The sequence below is a fragment of the Homo sapiens genome, chromosome 2, assembly GCF_000001405.40.
Source record: "Homo sapiens chromosome 2, GRCh38.p14 Primary Assembly".
NCBI lineage: Eukaryota > Metazoa > Chordata > Mammalia > Primates > Hominidae > Homo > Homo sapiens.
This window is the reverse complement of record NC_000002.12, coordinates 43229628-43250404: the sequence shown is the minus strand read 5'-3', so window position 1 is coordinate 43250404 and position 20777 is coordinate 43229628. Positions and strand designations below refer to the sequence as shown.

At 48.4% G+C, this 20777-nt stretch overlaps 1 protein-coding gene across 7 annotated transcripts in view; it reads left to right on the top strand.

The window, feature by feature from the left end:
- The window catches only part of THADA (THADA armadillo repeat containing), a 365188-nt gene extending 345634 nt beyond the window's left edge, over nt 1-19554 (top strand). For all 7 annotated transcript variants that reach the window (NR_073394.2, NR_144316.2, NM_001345924.2 and 4 more), the window contains 2 exons: nt 17523-17692; nt 19062-19554. Coding sequence is in view for 5 of the 7 variants with exons in the window: in NM_001345924.2 (NP_001332853.1) it covers nt 17523-17692; nt 19062-19457 (566 nt within the window). In the remaining 2 variants the exon portion in view is untranslated. The remainder of the gene's footprint in view (nt 1-17522; nt 17693-19061) is intronic.

Genomic DNA, 20777 nt, shown 5'->3' with positions numbered 1-20777 from the left:
CCACTATCCCCTGGCCTCTGGCAACTGCCAGTCTGCTTTCTGTCTCCGTGACTTTTCCTATTAAGTTTTTTCATATAAATGGATTTATATATGACCTTTTGTGCTTGGCTATTTTCATTAGACATAATGTTTACAAGGTTCATCCATGCTGTAGCGTGAATCAGCACTTTTAGTTCTTTTTATGGCTGAGTAATGGTCCATTGTATGGATCTACCACATTTTATTTATCCATTCATCCATTAATGGATGGACATTTGTGTTGTTTCCACCTCTTGGCTACTGTGAATAGTGCTGCATGAACATTCATGTATAAGCTTTTATTTGGGTACTGCTTTCAGTTCTCTTGGGTATGTACCTAGGAGTGGAATTGTGGGTCACATGGTAATTCTTTGACTTATTGAGGAACTGGAGGTCCTTTCTTGATGGACATCCTCCCCAGGTCTGCTCTGACAAGGAATAGCAGGCATGTTCCAACCTATCCCCACCTCCCAAGACACTGAGAATTGGCACAATGTCATCATTCTGTTAGATCTGGAAATAAACCGAAGAAAAAAGAGTATGGTCACCACAGAGATGCTGGTAATCAGAAGAAAGACAGCTTGGATGGGGGTGGGAAGGGGATGGGGTACTGAGAAGATTCAGGGTCACTTGAAAAGATTTGACTAAGGCCCAGGAAGAACTTAAGAGAAAGGGACTCAGCCACCCAGAATGAAGGAAATTGTAAGCCTAAAATACCCATGGCTGGTACAGCCAATCCACTAGTGATGAGGGAGGGATATAAGAGAGCTGTGAACTTACTTTTTCCTGCAACTAGGGGGCCGGGAAGCCACGTAGAAAGAGTCTTTAATGTTAAGGATGTAGGACATTTGGGCCTTGTGGGAGCACTGAAGGCTTTTAGACTGAGACATAATCAGGTCAGAGTTGTCTTAGACAGGTCACCCTGACCACAGGGAAGGGGAAAGCTTGGAGTCTAGACAAGACTGGAAGCAAGGAGCCTGCTTAGAAAGCTACCATCATTGGCCGGCCACAACGATTCACACCTGTAACCCCACATTTTGGGAGGCCAAGGTGGGAGCAATGCTTGAGCCCAGGAGTTCAAGACCAGCCTGGACAACATGGCAAAAACCCTGTCTCTACAAAAAATGCAAAATTAGCTGGGTGTAGTGGCGTGTGTCTGTAGTTCCAGTTACTCAGGAGACTGAGGTGGGAAGATCACTTGAGCCCAGGAGGTTGAGGCTGCAGTGAGCCATGATTGCACCACTGCACTCCACCCAGCCTGGGCAACATAGTTAGACCCCATCTCAAAAAAAAAAGGAAGGCTACCATTGTTCTGAGAGGAAGGATGGTGAGGATGGACCAAGGAAGTGGCAGTGGGGATGGAGAGGTGACAAGTTTGAGAGGTGTTTAAAAAGGGGCACAATTGTCAGACAGGTTACTGTGCATACAGAGGTGAAGGCAGAGCATGAGATGCTGTGGAGAAGAAAAAGTAAAGCAGGAAGCAGCAGAGGAGGGCGCCTCAGAGTTCCAGAGAGCTCCAGAGCACTGCACACACTGCCGAGAGAGCCCAGTCAGACTGGGCACGAGGCTGAGAGTGTGGGGACAGGAAGCCTGTGGAAGCGGCCCGGGCCGCTCCTTCTGAGTGAGGGCTAAATATGGAGGAGATTTGTGTCCTTTTTCTTCCTTCAGGTACAAAACTTTCAAAACGGATTCCATGTGTTTTGATTTCAATATTTTGACCTGGAGGACACTGTGACTCTATGTAAATGCAAATTTCTAATCTGAATTATATGAACATTAATTCATTTCATCAAGAAATTATTTTCCATCGTAACTCCTACAATCCAGTTTAATTCCTTAATCAATTTTCTTTACTGAGCGAGCGTGGTGGCTCATGCCTATAATCCCAGCACTTTGGGAGGCTAAGGCGGGCAGATCTCCTGAGGTCAGGAGTTCAAGACCAGCCTGGCCAACATGGCAAAACCCCATCTGTACTAAAAATACAAAGAAATTAGCCAGGCATGGTGGTGCACGCCTGTAATCCCAGCTACTCAGGAAGCTGAAGTGGGAGAATCGCTTGAACCCGAGAGGCAGAGGTTGCACTGAACCGAGATCATGCCACTGCACTCCAGCCTGGGTGACAGAGCGAGACTCCGTCTCTCTCTCTCTCTCTCTGTCTCTCTCTCTCTCTGTCTCTCTCTCTCTCTCTCTCTCTCTCTCTCTCTCTCTCTCTCTCTCTCTCTATATATATATATATATATATATATATATATATATTTCTGTATGGAGCAGTGAAGGCATTTCCTAAAGTTCTCCTTTATTTTCTTAAATATCAACTTTTTTTTTGTTTGTTTTGTTTTGCTTTAAGATAGGGTTTTGCTCTGACGCCCAGGCTGGAGTACAGCAGTGTGATCACAGCTTACTGCAGCCTTGAACTCTGAGGCTCCAGTAATCCTCCCGCCTCAGCTTCCCAAGTAGCAGGGACCACAGGCATGTACCACCACATTCAGCTAATTTTTAAATTTTTTGTAGCCACAGGTTCTCACTATGTTGCCCAAGCTGGGCTTGAACTCCTGGGCTCAAGTGATCCTCCCACATCAGCTTCCCAAAATGTTGGGAATATAGGCATGAGCCACTATGCCCAGCACCCCCCTTTTTTTTTTTTTTTTTTTTTTTTTTTGAGACGGAGTCTTGCTCTGTCGCCAGTCTGGAGTGCGGTGGCGCGATCTCAGCTCACTGCAACCTCCGCCTCCTGGGTTCAAGCGATTCTCGTGCCTCAGCCTCCCGAGTAGCTGTGATTACAGGCACCTGCCAATACTCCCAGCTGATTTTTATATTTTTAGTAGAGACGGGGCTTCACCATGTTGGCAACTCCTGACCTTTGGTGATCTCCCCACCTCAGCCTCCCAAAGTCCTGTGATTACAGGCATGAGCCACCTCACCCGGCCGTGCCCAGCCTTTAATAGTGATTTTATTTTTATTCAACAATTTTAGTCAGTAGGACTTTTCATGCCCAGTTTTAGAACTTGTGAGTTTTATTTTTTGTGTTTGTTTCCACCAAATCACAATTTCCCCCAGTCATTGTCTTGTTATTTGCAGTTTTTAGTGTTACTAACAAAATGACTTCTGGGGTCGGTTACTTTGAATTTTTTTCATGTGCTGCCATTTTCAGTGTAGTCTGATTATCTTCACTATTAACATTCACTGAAAAGTAGAAAACAGCCTGCCTCTTCCTGGAGTCCCTCCTCCCAGCTTCTCCACTGAAGACCTGGTGCTTAAAGGAAGGGAAGTTTTCTGGGCAGTGGACCCCTGGAGTCTCGAAACCCTTAAGACTCAAATGCTCCTCTTAGCAGGTAATTTCAATCCATCCCGCAACAGTTTGAGCATTCCTCCTTTTTAGTTGGCCCAAAACCCAGAGTCTTGCTGCCCTCTAAACTCTGAATTGTTCTCCCTTCCTTGGCATGTTCCTGAAAGGTTTTCTGTGGACCTCTCCCTTCTCTTGCCTGCCTTCCAGGCTTCTCCACACTCAGCGTCAGCCTAGGGCCATGTCAGCGGTGATTTCCCATGCCTTTGGGAAATGTAGTCACTCCAGGGAGGCTGCTGGGGAGTGTTGGCCACAGGGGACAGATAGGAAAGGCCTTGAGAGCTCTGGGGAGTAAACTCCATTTCAAGATATAAAATTCCCAGAAATTTTGAAATCACAGGCATTTTCATTTTGAACACTGTTTATAAATCTTAAAATCATGTTGTGAGTTTAAAAGTCATTTATACCTTGATTTGGTCATTGCATTACCATAAACTGTATTTGTTCTATTTAGAGCTGTAAAGGCCTAGGGGGTGAGGTAGGGTGCCTATAGTAAGGGAACTTTCTGGATTCTGTTTTTTTTTGTTTGTTTGTTTGTTTGTTTGTTTTTGAGACGAGTCCTGCTCTGTCACCCAGGCTGGAGTGCAGTGGCGCAATCTAAGCTCTCTGCAACCTCCACCTCCCGGGTTCAAGTGATTCTCCTGCCTCAGCCTCCCAAGTAGCTGGGACTACAGGCGCCCACCACCGTGCCCGGCTAATTTTTATATTTTTAGTAGAGACAGGGTTTCGCCATGTTGGCCAGGCTGGTCTCAAACTCCTGACCTCAAGTGATCCGCCTGCCTCAGCCTCCCAAAGTGCTGGGATTACAGGCGTGAGCCACCACGTCCAGCCTCTGGATTCTGTATAAGACTGGGAGGCGGGTGCCTAGTAAGGGAACTTTCTGGATTCTGGATAAGGCTGGGAGGTGGGCGCCTAGTAAGCAGACTTTCTGGATTCTAGATAAGGCTGGGAGGTGGGCACCTAGTAAGGAAACTTTCTGGATTCTAGATAAGGCTGGGAGGCGGGCGCCTAGTAAGGAGACTTTCTGGATTCTGGATAAAGCTCGGAGGTGGGCGCCTAGTAAGGGAACTTTCTATATTCTGGATAAGGCTGGGAGGCGAGTATCTAGTAAGACACTTTCTGGATTCTGCATAAAGCTGGGAGGCAGTAATGTTAAAGTCCTCAAGAGAGAAACATTATCTTCTTGAGTTTTTCTGATTTTCAAATTCTAGTCTTCAGTTACACCTCAGGACCATCTGCACCACCCACCCATATCCCACCAGTGTGTTTTGGGAGCCAAGCAGTCCCCTTTCTTGAGCTCTGTGCTGTGTTTACAGTACCTTGACTGGGCACATTCTTCAAGACTAGCACAGTGCCTTTTGCTCATGACAGCTCTGTTGAAATGAATCAGTCATTTGCTTTTCCTCTCTCCCACCTGAAGCCCTGAGTAAGCTCAGAGGGTTGAGGGTGGGAGTGGGAAACCAGGCAGGTGACAATGAGGGCCAGTGAAGCTTCACAAAGAACTCAGAAGGAACCAGTAAGTCTTAGGAGCTCAGGCCAAGAAGACTTACTTTCTTATAAAAGAAAGAAGTTGCTGGGCGTGGTGGCTCATGCCTATAATCCCAGCACGTTGGGAGGCCAAGGCGGGTGGATCACCTGAGGTCAGGGGTTCAAGACCAGCCTGACCAATATGGTGAAACCCTGTCTCTACTAAAATTACAAAAATTAGCCAGGCGTGGTGGTATGTGCCTGTAGTCCCAGCTACTAGGGAGGCTGAGGCAGGAGAATCGCTGGAACCCACAAGGCAGAGGTTGCAGTGAGCCGAGATCACACCACTGCACTCCAGCCTGGGCGACAGAGCAAGACTCCGTCTCAAAAAAAAAAAAAAAAAAGAAGAAGAAAGAAAGAAGCTCCAGTAGTGAAATAAGCTGAAGAAAACTGAAGTGACTTCAAGGAAAGGAAAAAGAGAAGTTTCAAGATCCAGGCTGGTCAGTGAGGAATGTGGAATGTGTCCTCAGAGCTGGTGAACTCTGCCCAGGCAGAGGAGAGGAGGCTGATGGAAGGCAGACCTCAGGTTGCCCAGCACTTGCCAGTCTGTGGAAGCCTCCGTCACTGGCTCATGACACAGGGGTAGGGAGGAAAGAAGAGGGCTGGGTGCTGCCATGTCCAGGAGGAGTGCTCTGGGGTGAGTGGCCATGCAGATAGGAATGAAGTGCAAGGCACTTACCACCTGGTCAGAGTTGGAGGCGATCGAACCCTCTGGGAGGCTCTGCAGAGTGAAATCATCAAGGAGCAGGCATAGGGAGGGACTCATCTGCTGTGGAGGGACTGGCTTTGCACTTTTCACAGGAAAGGCCTGACACAGTTCAGGCCCCAAAGGAATCGTCACCAAATGCAAGAATGCCAAATGCAGGCCAAAATGGCTGGACAGGGCCCACTGCTTGCTCTGCTGTCCCTTCACACACCAGGGCCCCAAGGACTGGCCTTTATTACCTGCTCCAGAACAGCCATGAAGCCCACATGAACAGCCCATGGGTGCCGTACCCTTTCCTGCTGAGCTCCAGAGATTGCCACAGGAAACAGGAGTGAGGTGCACACAAAACTGGGTATAATGGAAGCACCCGGAAGGGCTGGAGGCTGTGACAGCTCCAGGTTGTAAGCCCCCTGGAGAACCACGTCTTTTTCACAGATGGTATTTTCTGAGAGCAATATTTGTTTGAATCCATTCCTTATTTGCTACTGTGGTTTGAAGTGAACAAATGCAAGTATTTTTCTAGGGTTTGAGCTGAGTGTACTGTTAACTGGCTATAATTTATCAGTCCCTTTTTGGTGAAGTATGTCCCTATTGAATAAGAAGTGCACACTTTTTAACTCTTATGAATTGCTTATTTTCATTCATATTGGCTGTGTCCATTTTTAAAATCAGGGGAAAAATTTTATTTACCCAGTGTTTTGAGGTGGGCCCACATTTTTAAAATCATAGTTATTTTAACTTTAAAAATAAAGATTTTTTGGAATGTATTGTTGATTAAAAATAATAATAAAGATTTTGAAATTATCTTTTCTTTTAAATGAAAACAAAGGATTTGCTAGGGTATTTCTGGTTTCATAATAGGTCACCAGGAAACATGTTTACATCAGGCAGTCATAGGTTTTAGGCATGTAACACTTCTGTGGAGTTTGTATTCTTTGGGAACTGGACCTGCAGGTATTCTGGGGAACCCAGGCCATTTGTTCCATTTGAAAATAGCTAAAGCATGAAGAAAAGGCAAATTCTTAGAATTTTAAAGGGTTTTCTCTCAAGTAGTTTTAAAATTTCAAATGATGGTGTTGTATCCCTTCCCTTCAGACCTGGAATCACATTTTCCCCTCAAGACAGAAAGGGCTCTGCGGCAGGTTGTGCCTGGGAAGGGGCTGCTTCTCATTTGTGGCCACCTCTCTGCCCAGGAGCTGGTGAGGAAGGGTGAACTAGGGGATGCCTTTCAGAACAAAGGAGGTGAGGAGATGAGCCCCTCCACATCTGCCCCAAATAGAGACCGGCGTACTAGACTGAGCACTCACAGAGACGTTCACGAAGGGACTGTTTGCGGTTGTGTGAGATTGGAGGCAGGCCTACAGCAGGGCTTCTCATCGTTGGCACTGTGGACATTAATTGGGGTGGTAGGGCTATCGTGAACACTGTAGAATGTTGAGTAGCATCTCTAGCCCCTACCTACTAAATGCCAGTAGCACCACCAACTCTGACTCTGACAACCAAAAATGTCTCCAGACACGGGCAGATGTACCCTAGGAGCAGTGTGCCCTCTGGCTGAGAACCATGGGTGAAGGGAAGCAGTCATGATGTTGAGGCACCTACAGACAAGAACAGTAGGAAGCCCTTCCCACCCCTCTGGCTGAAAGGGAGACCCCAGGAATAGTGGAAGTCAGGGAGGAGGAGCTGCCCAGCAGGTGCCCTAGCCATGAGGGATGCAGCCACTGCTAGAATCTTCGCAACTTTCTGGGGAGGGTGCAAGAAAGAAATACCGCCAACTCCTCTCACTTCTACCCTCCAGTATACCAGTGCTCCCTTCACATTAGGAGAAGTCAGCTAGAAGCCCGGTGGCAAGGACACCTGGGTAAGGCAGTCTATTGAAATCAGCATCTTGGGGCACTGGGCAGGGTGGAGGAGGGGCACAGAATGGAAAACGGAAAATAATCATTCTGTTCATCCATCCATCCATCCATGTATTCAGTACTTATGAGCAGCTTAGCAAAGTGGTCAAGAATGTAGGTGCTGGGCCGGGCACAGTGGCTCACACCTGTAGTCCCGGCACTTTGGGAGGCCAAGGTAGGTGGATCACTTGAGCTCATGAGTTCAAGATCAGCCTGGGCAATATGGTGAAACCCTGTCTCTACCAAAAATACAAAAATTAACCAAGCATGATGGTGTGCCTATAGTCTTAGCTACTTGGGAGGCTAAGATGGGAAGATGGCTTGACCTGGGAGATGGAGGTTGTAGTGAGCTGAGACCACACCACTGCACTCCAGCCTGGGTGGCAGAGCCAGACCTTGTCTGCACAGAAAAAAAAAAGAAAAAAGAATATAGGTGCTGGAGTGCTGGAGTCAGATAAGCCTGGATTTGTATCTGGCCCTACCACTTGCAACCTGTATCCTGTATGATCTTGAACAAGTTGTTTATCTAAATGTCAGTCACCTTGAGTATAAAATGGCAACAATAATTCTATCTACCTAGACCTTATTCTTGCAATCTTGGATTTTTCCCCAATGGGAAAATGCAAGTCACAAGTAAATTGCATAGTATAAGACCACAGTCAAGTGCTAAGCGGGTGGTATCTGGGCAGTACCCAGTGTTGGTTTTATAGACAGTCCTGGGAAAGGAAAGACACAGGGTTCAGCCATGAAGTGCCCCCCTCAGCATCTGTGAACACCTTGAGCACTGTGCAGATACAGTGGAGAAAAAGTCCCCAGTGGGCTGAGAAACACCACAGGATCTGCGTTGCGTCCTGAGGGACAGGCCGGCAGGCTAAGTGAAAAGGAGGAAGAAGGGACCCCAGAGCAGGGAATGGTGAGTGAATCAAAGCCAAGAGAGTTGGAGGGAGGGGGAAGGCCCAGATAGCAGTGTGGGGAGACCACTGAGATGAGGTTTGGTTGAGGGACTCAGTGTTCTCTCCTGTAAAAGTAAGGGGAGGGCCTGGGGCCAGCTGCCTTCTTCAGTACCATTTCACAGGGGTCACCAACTCACATGTCCACAGAGACCACTCAAGTGAGCACGCACGTGAAAGGCGCGCGATGGGAGGCAGTAGGGCGGTCCCAGGCTGGAAGCATCCGCCTTCTGTAGGCGTGGCCACCGCTCTGCTCCAGCAGCTGCTGCCGTCTTCTAATGCAGGCCTAGAGACACCACAGTCTGATTTTCCTAATTTTCAAAAGATGCTAGAAATTTGGATCTTTATGAGAATTGCCCTGATTTTTTTTTAAATCCATGTGAGCTGTACTAAATAGTCCCTTTGCACCCCTGTCCAGACACTGCTGGTAAGTCCAGACAGGGGTGCAAAGGGACTGTTTAGTACAGTTTAGCTGACACAACTCAGCTTAGAACCCAAGTTGTGTGTGTTTGGATTCTGCCTCCGCATATACTTTCTTTTAAATAGTAGGCTCTAAGACTTAAAACAAAAAGGATGCCAGGCAAAGTGGCTCACACCAGTAATCCTAGCACCTTGGGAGGCCTAGGTGTGTGGATCACTTGAGCCCAGGAGTTTAAGACCAACCTGGGCCACGTGGCAAAACCCGTCTCTACAAAAAATACAAAAATTAGGGGGGACATGGTAGTTTGTGCCTGTAGTCTCAGCCACCAGGGAGGCTGAGGTGGGAGGACCACTTGAGCCTGGGAGGTCGCTGCAGTGAGCTGTGATTGTGCCACTTTGCCCTAGCCTGGGCGACAGAGTGAGACCCTGTCTCAAAAAAATAAACATAAAAAAAAGGAAGAGGGGTCCACCTGGGCCCGGTGAAGTCTGAATTCCCCCCAGACTTAATATCATGGCCAGGTAGGGATTTGGGGGAAGGGATGGCTGTGGACAAGGGCACAGACAGGGACGAGGGCAGAGAGAGGGTGGGCCATAGTCCTGGTGCTGCACCCGGCCCTGGCACTTGGCCCAGTGCATGCTGGGACTAGGGCTGCCCTTGAGAGCTCTGGCCAGCACATTTGGTTCTTCTTTGATGAAATTTTTTAAATTTTCAGATAAAGGACAGAGACTGTTAACCACAAACACCTATGTTCCCCGACCCAGACTTCCTACTGGGTTCTTTGCAGCTGGGGAGATGATCCCCTTCCATTCCTTAGGACACTGACCTTCCTCTGGGCCATTTGTCTCCAGTAGGGGTCAGCTGGGAGCTTTTAATTGGTGGTAAAGGTTGAAATGATGGCATTTGATAGCATGGCCATGAATGTACTCACAGAGTGCCCCACCTGGAATCCCAGCTCTGAGCCTGGGCTCTGATGGCCCTGGTGGGTGGAGAGCCCTGGCTAGTCTCGGAGTAGAGGGTAAGGGGAGGTAGGGGACTGAGAGGCTTCTGGCAGCCCCAGGAAATGTTGACTGGCAGAGTCAGCTGAACCGAGCTTGTTTTTCATGACTAATTTAAAGTTCAGGCTCTTCCCCTGCTAAGGGGAAGTGAAGACGACCATGGAGAAGACTAGAAATAATGAGGTTATCTGGAAACGGCCTCATGAAACCTGAATGTATTTTTGCTCAGAAAAAAAGAAAGTGCAGTAACACTCACTCCGTCAGACGCTGCCTTTGCTGCCCAGGCCACCCCAGCCTGCCTGGCCTCGCCTCCAGTCCTCCCTTTAGTGGGCAGCTTGTCTCCCTGCGGCCCAAGCTTGGGCTCCTCACTGCCTCTCGGTTGTGTGTGTCCTCTCACCCACCCTGCTTAGCCTGTCTGTGAAGCCACCTCCTCCTTCCACATTTGTTTTTCCTTTCTGTCTTTTGATTACCCCTACTCATGATATAATTTGTCTGTGTCACACACCGTCTTCGACTGTTTCGTCACACTTCGTGTGGGTCAGCTTGCCTCTGGCAACTCTTCTCTCTCTTAGAGTGGTTTTCTGGGTGGTTTTCCTCATGTTTCACACAGCGTCCTCCACACACAGGTGATCAATAAATACTTGTGGGTAGATAAAATATCAGATTGATGGGTGAATGGGTGAGTGGGTGGATGGGTGGTGAGTTGGTTGGATGGCAGGGCCACCCAACACCTTGGCCAGTCCCCTAAAGCTGAGGGATTTTTCAGATGCCTGAAGGAGGATTCTCCAGAGCTAGGGGCAGGGAGAATTCAACCCATTGCCATTTGCACAGCATTTACTATGCTGATTGCCCTCTCTTGAGAAGGACTAGAAGGCAGACTTGACCAATGGCCTTAGTCTAGAAGTCATCTCCCCCATAATACTTTAAAATCAGACCATGGGCTTTTTAATCCGTGGTCTGAAATAGTTTTCAAGGTTGGCACCTGGAAGACATCCACTTTGACATCTTTCTTTCATTCAGTAGTTGAAAGCAACCTCAAAGTCTGTGACTTACCTGTCTACCTGCCTAGAAATTAATAATCACTTCCCCTAGTGGGGGGAATCAGAGGCTGAGATTTGTAGTGGAGGCAACACACTGTGTGAGGCCTGGGTCTTCACCTCCAGCCCTGTTGGGGGGCGGGGGATGGGGGTGGAGGCGCTCATCGTGGAGGCAGAGAAGAAGCACCAGGGAGTATCAGCACATAACAGGGTTTCTGATAGCTAGGCATCTGCCTTGGATGGGGAGCCCTGATGTGGCTGGGGCAGTAGCAAGATGAAGGCTATACTGCAGCAGCCCTGAAGGCTCTGGTTTGCTTCCCTCCTCTGCAGTCCCAGTGAGTTATCCCTTCACAAGGATGGAAGGCACCAGATTAACCAATTCTAAATGCTGATCCATCACATTTCCAACATGATTCCAAATGACCACATGTTAATCCCACTTGTGTAGGCCTACCACAGACATGAATGTGTACCAGCTAACCCCACCCATTTGAAGCACTCCAGGAAGATTCTAGGGCATATTTCTTCTTGCCCTAGCAGTGTAGCCGGTGGGAGGAAGAGCCTCGGAGATCATTTATTCCCCACATTGACGTCTTCCTCCCACCAACCCCCAGCTCCCACAGCTCTTGGCATGTGAACCACTCCACTGAGCACCTGATGTCCCTGCTGTTGCCTGGGTGTTTGTCTTACCTTCCCACCTAGACCTCCTGCTTCTTCATTCCCTTTTGTGGCTGATTACTATTCCATTGTATGAATTTATAACAGCATTTTATTTATCCATTTATTAGCTGATGGACATTTGGGTTATTTCCACATCTTGGCTCTTATGAACAAGGCTGCTATGAACATTTATGTACAAGTTTTTGTGTGGATGTGTCTTTTTTCTCTCTCTTAGATACACTCCTAGGAGTGCAGTTTTTGGGTCATAGGTTTAATCTTTTGAGGAGAACTGCAAGACTGTTTTCCAAAGTGGCTACACCATTTTACACTCCCACTAAAAATGTATGAGGGTTCCAATTTCTCCACATCTTTGCCAAAACTTAACTTTTTTTTATTATAGTCATCCCAGTGGGTGTGAAGTGGAATGTGACTGGGGTTTTGATTTGCATTTTCCTGATGATTAATGATGCTAAGCATCTTTTCATGTGTTTATTAAGAGTATTAAGAGTTCTTTATGTAGTTTAGATACAGTCCCTTGTCAGAGACAGGATTTGTTCATATTTTCTCCCTTTCTGTGAATTATCCTTTCACTTTCTTTTTGATGTTACTTTGAAGCACAAAAGTTTTCCATTTTGACAAAGCCCAGTCTTCCTTCTCTCCCTTCTTTCCTTCCTCCCTCCCTTCCTTCTTTCCTTCCTTTTTTTTTTTTTTTTTTTTTTTTTTTTTTTTTTGAGATGGAATCTTGCTCTGTCATCCAGGCTGGAGTGCAGTGGCACGATCTTGGCTCACTGCAACCTCCACCTCCTGGGTTCAAGCAACTCTCCTGCCTCAGCCTCCCAAGTAGCTGGGACTACAGGTGTCCACCACCACGCCTGGCTAATTTTTGTATTTTTAGTAGAGACAGGGTTTCACCCTATTGGGTCAGGCTGGTCTCGAACTCCTGACCTCAGGTGATCCACCCACCTCAGCCTCCCAAAGTGCTGGGATTACAGGCATGAGCCACAGCACCCAGTCTGACAAAGCCCAGTTTCTCTAGTGTTGCTTGTGTTTTTGATGTCATATCTAAGAAGTAGTTGCCTAATTCAAGGTCATACAGATTTACTTCTATGTTTTCTTCTGTGAGTTTTCTAAGGCCAAGCGTGGTGGCTCAAGGCCGGGCGTGGTGGCTCACGCCTGTAATCCCAGCACTTTGGGAGGCCGAGGCGGGTGGATCACGAGGTCAGGAGTTCAAGACCAGCCTGGCCAAGATGGTGAAACCCCGTCTCTACTAAAAATATAAAAAGTTTAGCCAGGCACAGCGGCAGGCACCTGTAATCCCAGCTACTCAGGGAGGCTGAGGCAGGAGAATTGCTTGAACCTGGGCAGCAGAGGTTGCAGTGAGCTGAGATTGCGCCACTGCACTCCAGCCTGGGTGACAGACAGACTCCATCTCAGAAAAAAAAAAAAAAAAAATCAAATGAGTTTTCTAGTTTTTGCTCTTACATTTAGGTGTTCGGTACATTTTAATTTTTGTATATTGTGTGAGGTAGGGGTCCAACGTCATTCTTTCGCAGGTGTGTATCCAGTTGTCCCAGGATTACTGGTTGAAAAGACCGTTTTTTCCCCATTATTTTGGTACCCTTGTCAAAAATCATTTGACCATAAATGTGAGGGTGTGTTTCTGGACTCTCAGTCTGTTGATTTGTGTAATCTGCCCTTGCTGTTCTGTTGATCTATATGTCTATCCTTATGCCAGTACCACGCTGTCTTTATTCCCTGGTTTTTTTTTTTTTTTTTTTGAGACAGAGTCTTGCTCCATCACCCAGGCTGGTGTGCAGTGGCGCGATCTCGGCTCACTGCAAGCTCCGCCTCCCGGGTTCACGCCATTCTCCTGCCTCAGCCTCCCGAGTAGCTGGGACTACAGGCGCCCACCACCATGCCTGGCTAATTTTTTTTTTTTTTTTTGTATTTTTAGTAGAGACGGGGTTTCACTATGTTAGCCAGGATGGTCTCGATATCCTGACCTCATGATCCACCCGCCTCGGCCTTCCAAAGTGCTGGGATTACAGGCGTGAGCCACCGTGCCCGGCCCACGCTGTCTTTATTCCTATAGCTTTGTAGTAAGTTTTGAAATCAGGAAGTGTGAGTCCTCCAATTTTGTTTTCTTTTTCAAGATTGTTTTGGATACACAGCAGATTCTTTATTTTTTGTAGCAACACGGTCTTGTCTCAAGTGATCCTTCCACCTTAGCCTCCCAAAATTAGGGGATTACAGGTGTGAGCCACTGAGCCCAGCCTCTCAGCAGATTCTTAAAACACACTTGTTGCTTGGCTGCTTGCTTTCTTGTTTCCTTGATGGACTGGCCAGCCTGTAAGAGCCTAGCTGGCCTGCATGCTTAAGTGACAAATTCCTCTCCCTACTCCAGCCTCCCTTCATAAGGCATTTGGCCAGTAGAGATCTAGGCAGTTCTGGCTGAGCTGTCTTAGTCCAGGGCAAGGTAGTAAGAGACCGAATTTGGCAGGTTGCAGCTGGTCCCTCAAGCAGGAGATCTAAATCCAACTCATCCTTCCCCCCGCATCCCCAAAACATCTCAGCATTCCTTCCTCTTCTGTCCTTGCCTTGCAGGCTTGGAGTCTGGGTAGTTAAGAGTTCTATCTAGACCCACTTCTGGCCACATCACACCAGCTCTTCCCTTTTGCCTGTCATCCCGCCACTCTCCTGCCCCTTCCTAACCATGATTCATGGCAAAATGGTGCAAGATGGGCCAGGCGTGGTGGCTCACGCCTGTAATCCCAGCACTTTGGGAGGCCGAGGCAGGTGGATCACAAGGTCAGGAGATCGAGACCATCATGGCTAACACGGTGAAACCCCGTCTCTATTAAAAATTCAAAAAAAATTTAGCCGGGCGTGGTGGCGGGTGCCTGTAATCCCAGCTACTCGGGAGGCTGAGGCAGGAGAATGGCATGAACCCGGGAGACGGAGCTTGCAGTGAGCCGAGATCCCGCCACTGCACTCCAGCCTGGGCGACAGAGCGAGACTCTGTCTCAAAAAAAAAAAATGGTGCAGGATAGAGGCTACCTGTCCTGTCAGGTGGGGCTAGTGCAGCAGCCTAGCCTTCCTTGGTGGCATCTCTGGTCACCCCCATAGGTTCTTTATGGACTCAACAGGAATGTCACTTGAGCTGCAGATACTGATTTTGCTGATGGATGATGAAATTTTTTTCTTCCCTGTTGGGCTTTCAGTCCTTGCCTTAAGGAGACCATAAAAAAAGTGGTGGGAGGCCAGGTACAGTGGCTCATGGGTGTAATCCCAGCACTTTGGGAAGCCGAGGGGGCAGATCACTTGAGGTCAGGAGTTCGAGATCAGCCTGACTAACATGGAGAAACCCCGTCTCTACTAAAAATACAAAATTAGCCGGGTGTGGTGGCGCATGCCTGTAATCCCAGCTACTTGGGAGGCTGAGGCAGGAGAATCTCTTAAACCTGGGAAGCGGAGGTCGCGGTGAGCCGAGATGGTGCCACTGCACTCCAGCCTGGGCAACAAGAGCGAAACTCTGTCTCAAGACAAAACAACAACAACAAAAAAGTGATAAGCTGGGCACAGTGGTTCATGCCTGTAATCCCAGCGCATTGGAAGGCTGAGGCGGGTGAATCACTTGAGGTCAGGAGTTCAAGACTAGCCTGGCCAACATGGTGAAACCCCATCTCTACTAAAAATACAAAAATTAGCCAGCCATGGTGGCAGGAGCCTGTAATCCCAGTTACTCAGGAGGCCGAGGCAGGAGAATCGCTTGAACCCGGGAGGTGGAGGTTGCAGTGAGCTGAGATCACGCCACTGCACACAAGCCTGGGCAATACAGCAAGACTCAGTCTGAGAAAAAAAAAAAGAGTGATAAACCCACTGGGTGCAGCGGCTCATACCTGTAATCCCAGCACTTTGGAAGGCTGAGGTGGGTAGATCACTTGAGGTCAGGAGTTTGAGACCAGCCGGGCCAACATGGTGAAACCCAGTCTCTACAAAAAATACAAAAATTAGCTGGGCAAAAACAAAATTATCTGGGTGTGGTGGCACATGCCTATAGTCCCAGCTACTTGGGGGCTAAGGCAGGAGAATTGCTTGAACCCAGGAGGCGGAGGTTGCAGTGAGCCAAGATCACGCCACTGTACTCCAGCCTGGGCAACAGACTCTGTCTCAATCAATCAATAAAAGTTGAAGGGAAAAAAGAAAGAAAAAGGCCACTTAATTATCCCTTCTCTATACAGATTCTCAGCCAATTGAGAACTGCAGAAAGGAGTTAGGTAGAGGTAAAAATGGAGATTGTATTGTAGGTAGAGGCCCAGTCAACACATGGCTCAGACCCACAGCCAAAATGCACCTTCACCCCCTCCCCTTTTCTGTTTCCTGGTTTAAATCTGGGTTCTAGGCTGCAGAGCAAGCAGCATGGGGAACGGGGACACTAAAGGGCAAGTGTCCTGGGGGACTTATCTGGAGCTCTCAAGATGGTGAGATCAGTACTTTCACCTGCTTACATGCAACTAGGTGCTGCTGTGTGACCTCTGAATAGTCCTGGCCCTACTGCAGGGTCACTACCCCTGCTGACCCCACCATCAAAACCTCTGGATTGTTGATGCTGGGTCTCCAAATCTGCGCTTTGCATGCACCATGAAACTTGTTGCCAACTGTAATTTCTTGATGTGTGCAAGTGGGTTACATAATACCCAACCCATAGGATGCTAGAAGGACTGGGGAGACAGCATTTGATCAGGGCCTGGCACTCACTAGGCCCTCAGTGGGGCCATCCCAGTAAGCCTGGTTCAACACCCACGGGAACTAAGCCTGCTGTTGCAGATTCTCGGTCGTCTGCCTGTGTGCCGAGTAAGTCTTTCGGGGGCCAGATGGTCAGGGTAAGTCTGTGTGCTCAAGTTAGAGATGTGGATTTGGGAGTGATCAGGGCTCAATAGAAATGCATCATTGAAAGACAGGCCTTTCAATGTCAGTTGGTGCAAGATGGGCCTACAGAGGTCCATTGTGCAGTGGGCTTTCAGTCCCGTGTTTCAGACACCCTCCAGGTTTGGGATGGGAGGGGCAGAGTTGTTAGGGGAAGTGACAACACCCCTGAGCCTCCCTCCAAACCCATATTTAGGATTGTCTAAGGCCAAATGTTGAAATAAGCAATGGTTTCCCCAAGGCCCCCTGCTTCCTCTTTCTGCACCCTTCTATTCTTTCAGTGCCCTTCCTCCAAGCACCCAGGAAAACAAGGGTCCAAAAACAAAAAACTCCGAGACAGAGGGCAGCAAAATAGGAGCCAAATGCAGCCTACCACCTGCTTTTTACAGCCCATGAGCTATCAATGGTTTTTACATTTTTAATTGGTTGGGAAAAAATAATATTTTGTGACACATTAAATTCAAATTTCAGTGTCCATAAATAAAGTTTTATTGGAACACAGCCACAACCATTTGTTTACAGATTGTCCATGGCTGCTTTCAGCCGAGGTGAGGAGGTATAGGCTTGCAAAGTCTAAAATATTGACTCTCTGGCCCTTTAAGGAAAAGCTTGCCGATGCCCTGCTCTAGGATGTGTCTTGTGCCCAAGAGATCTGCTTTCCAAGGAAAGGGCAAACCAGTCAAATCCAGGCAGATGTGCAGAGGAGACACTGGACAGGGAAGCCTTCCTGATCCTTCTGGTGACACTGGAGGAGCAGAGGGGAGATAACTCTCTAATCCTGCAGATGGAACTGCTTCTGTCCACACTGAGTTAGGGGGCATGGAAACAGTGGGTTCAGGCCTATGACTCATTCTAACAGTATAAATAGCAGGATTCAGAAGGTGATTAATCGTCTCCAGTGAGCCCACCCTACCAGCTTCCCTGCCAGGCTGGTGGCAGCGATTTTACCTGAGGCCTTTATTGTTCCCAGGGTCCTGCAGGCTGCCCTGGGGTCGGCCCTGAGCAGTATATTCATTGCTCACCTTTCTCCTGTCTTTGCAGAGTTTGCCTTCTGCCAGGTGGATGCCTCCATCGCTCTGGCCCTGGCCCTGGCCGTCCTGTGTGATCTGCTCCAGCAGTGGGACCAGTTGGCCCCTGGACTGCCCATCCTGCTGGGATGGCTGTTGGGAGAGAGTGATGACCTCGTGGCCTGTGTGGAGAGCATGCATCAGGTGATCCCGGGGTGTCAGGGGAGTAGGAGGCAGGGTTGGAGTGTCCTAAACCCGCTAGATGCAGCACCTACAGCCTCAGCTGGGCTTTTGCATGCTTAGACACAGAGCAGGAACCACTAGGAAAGTCACCCACTGGGTGCTGCCGAGGACACGGGGACACTCTTAGGCTGACTTCTGGGGTGCTGATGGTCAGCCTCCAGCTTAGCCAGGGGAGAGAACTCGGAAAGAAGCCCCTGGCCGGGCACAGCGGCTCATGCTTGTAATCCCAGCACTTTGGGAGGCCAAGGCAGGCGGATCATGAGGTCAGGAGATCGAGACCATCCTGGCTAACACGGTGAAACCCCGTCTCTACTAAAAATACAAAAAATTAGCCGGGCATGGTGGTGGGTGCCTGTAGTCCCAGCTACTCGGGAGGCTGAGGCAGGAGAATGGCGTGAACCTGGGAGGCGGAGGTTGCAGTGAGCCGAGATTGCACCACTGCACTCCAGCCTGGGCAACAGAGCAAGACTCCATCTCAAAAAAAAAAGAAAAGAAAAGAAAAGAAAAAAAGAAGCCCCTGGATGCGGAGAGTTTTATTATGGAGACTGCTTGTTAGTCAGTATTGGAGTTAGCCTGGGGCTTCCCAAAGTTAGGTCTGAGGGTGAAGCATTTTCAGAGAATTAGGATCTTTGCTGGGAACTTCCTGCTTGAAGAAAACTATTATTAGCCCCCTCCAGGGTGGGTGCAGTCACAGATAGGGAAACTGAGGACAAAGACAAGCAGCAAAAGCATCCTGAGAACTGAAATTGATCGCCACCAGCATCTGACTCAGCTGGCCTTCTTGGCATCCCCAGCAGGCCAAGGGTTCAAAACGCATTGTCCCTCTTTATGAGAAATTTGGAGACATGGTAAGTGTCTGACAAAAGGACCTTGAGAATCACAGTGTTATAGAAACAGGACACAGCCTAGTGTCCTGTGTTTGGAGATTCCTTCCTCTCTGGCCTGCTGCAGAGATGACCTTTCCTCCCTCCTCTCCAATTTCCAGCTGCACCTTAAACTCTAGAGCCCACTCCCTTGTTGAAGTCCCCTTTTCAGCATCCATCCCCCAAAGTATCTTGACTTTGAACCACAAACACATCTTTATCCAAGGTCATGTTAAGTCTGGGGAAAAAATTCCTCTCTGGTGGAGAAATACAGTGAGTGAAAATAGAAGGTGACCTTCAAGGCTGCAAGTGGTGTGTGTACATGGATGTTGACAGGCAAGAGTGCACCCTCTGTCAGGTGGGGGAAGGGAAACCCCTCTTGCATCTGGCAGGGTACTGCTTGGTCTGGACTGGGGCTTGTCACCATTCCCTGTAAGACTGACTTTCGGCTTTTTCATCTGATTTAGGTGGAAGAAGACTACCTGTTTGAAAAAGCAGAAGTCAACTTTTGGGCCGAGACCCTGATCTTTGTGAAATACCTCTGCAAGCACCTCTTCTGTCTCCTCTCAAAGTCCGGCTGGCGTCCCCCAAGCCCTGAGATGCTCTGTCACCTTCAAAGGATGGTGTCAGAGCAGTGCCACCTCCTGTCTCAGTTCTTCAGAGAGCTTCCACCAGCTGCTGAGTTTGTGAAGACAGTGGAGTTCACAAGACTACGCATTCAAGAGGAAAGGACTTTGGCTTGCTTGAGGCTGCTGGCCTTTTTGGAAGGAAAGGAAGGGGAAGACACCCTAGTTCTCAGTGTTTGGGACTCTTATGCAGAATCGAGGCAGTTAACTCTTCCAAGAACAGAAGCGGCATGTTGAAGAAAATCTGGGGGATTGGGATGGGGGTATGTGTGGATTTTTCCTCCACTAAATCTGCAGGAAACATGTTGAACATAAATTCAAAAATTTTATCCCATTCATGCCTCCCCTACTTCTGTGAGTCCAGTCGTCTGTCACTCCTTACAGAGAAACTTTTCTTCAGTTCACTCATTCAGGGCAGCCTATTTTATTGCTGCTACTGTAGGAAGTGAGGCGACTCCGTTGCAGATTTACTCTGTCCCCAGGTGCAGGCCACCTGCAGGCCTGAATGAGCCTTTTTCATCCCCCAGGGCCTCTAATGCCCTGCCATAGCCGCCCTGCATTCTCTGTGAAATGACTACAGAGAGTTGGATTTTAGCACATACACATGATCCCTCCCCTCTCCCCTTTTCTGGCTTTATGTAGGGGCTGGATTAGTTGGCAAACAGCCCATTTGGTCAGATTTGTGAATTTTGTTCCATTTTAGCAAAGCAGAAATATGTTCCAAATGTTGGATCCTGGGAGAATTCAGGATCAACTTTGCACAAATAATTTATTTTTATTGTCTGCATGTGTTAAGTCCTGCAGTGACCTACACATTCCATCCTAATTATTCAAAGAGCCATTGAGCATTTCCCCTACCCCCCAAAAAGTATGCTAATGCTAGGAAACCTGATTTTGCCACCCAGTGAAAGTATATCCGTCCTCTTAGCTGTGAGGAGGAACCTGGGGAAAGGAGAGTCAGAGAAAATGACTTATTCTGTGCCTACATTGTTTACCTATCGCTTGGTGGCAGTAACAAGTGTCTCACTTAAAATGCCATTAAACACATTTATCAGCTGGGCGCGGTGTTTCACACCTGTAATCCCAGCATGTTGGGAGGCTGAGGCGGGTGGATCACAAGGTCAGGAGTTCAAGACCAGCCTGGTCAAGATGGTGAAACCCCCGTCTCTACAAAAAATGCAAAAAAAATTAGCTGGGCGTGGTGGTGGGCGCCTGTAATCCCAGCCACTCGGGAGGCTGAGGCAGAGAATTGCTTGAACCCGGGAAGCGGAGGTTGCAGTGAGCCGAGATCGCACCACTGCACTCCAGCCTGGGCGACAGAGTGAGACTCGTCTCAAACACTCAAACACACACACACACACACACTCTCACTCTCTCTCTCTCTCTCTCACATCCTTTGCAGTGATTTTAATCTAGAAACCTTAATGATTTTCTTCCTTTTCAAGCCCAGCCCAGCCCTCTTCCTCACACATCCAGCAGGTGGCGCTCTTGCAAACGTTTTGCTGCTGGTCCAGTTTTTCACTGGCTCACCATTTTTCATTTATAATTTCAGAATAA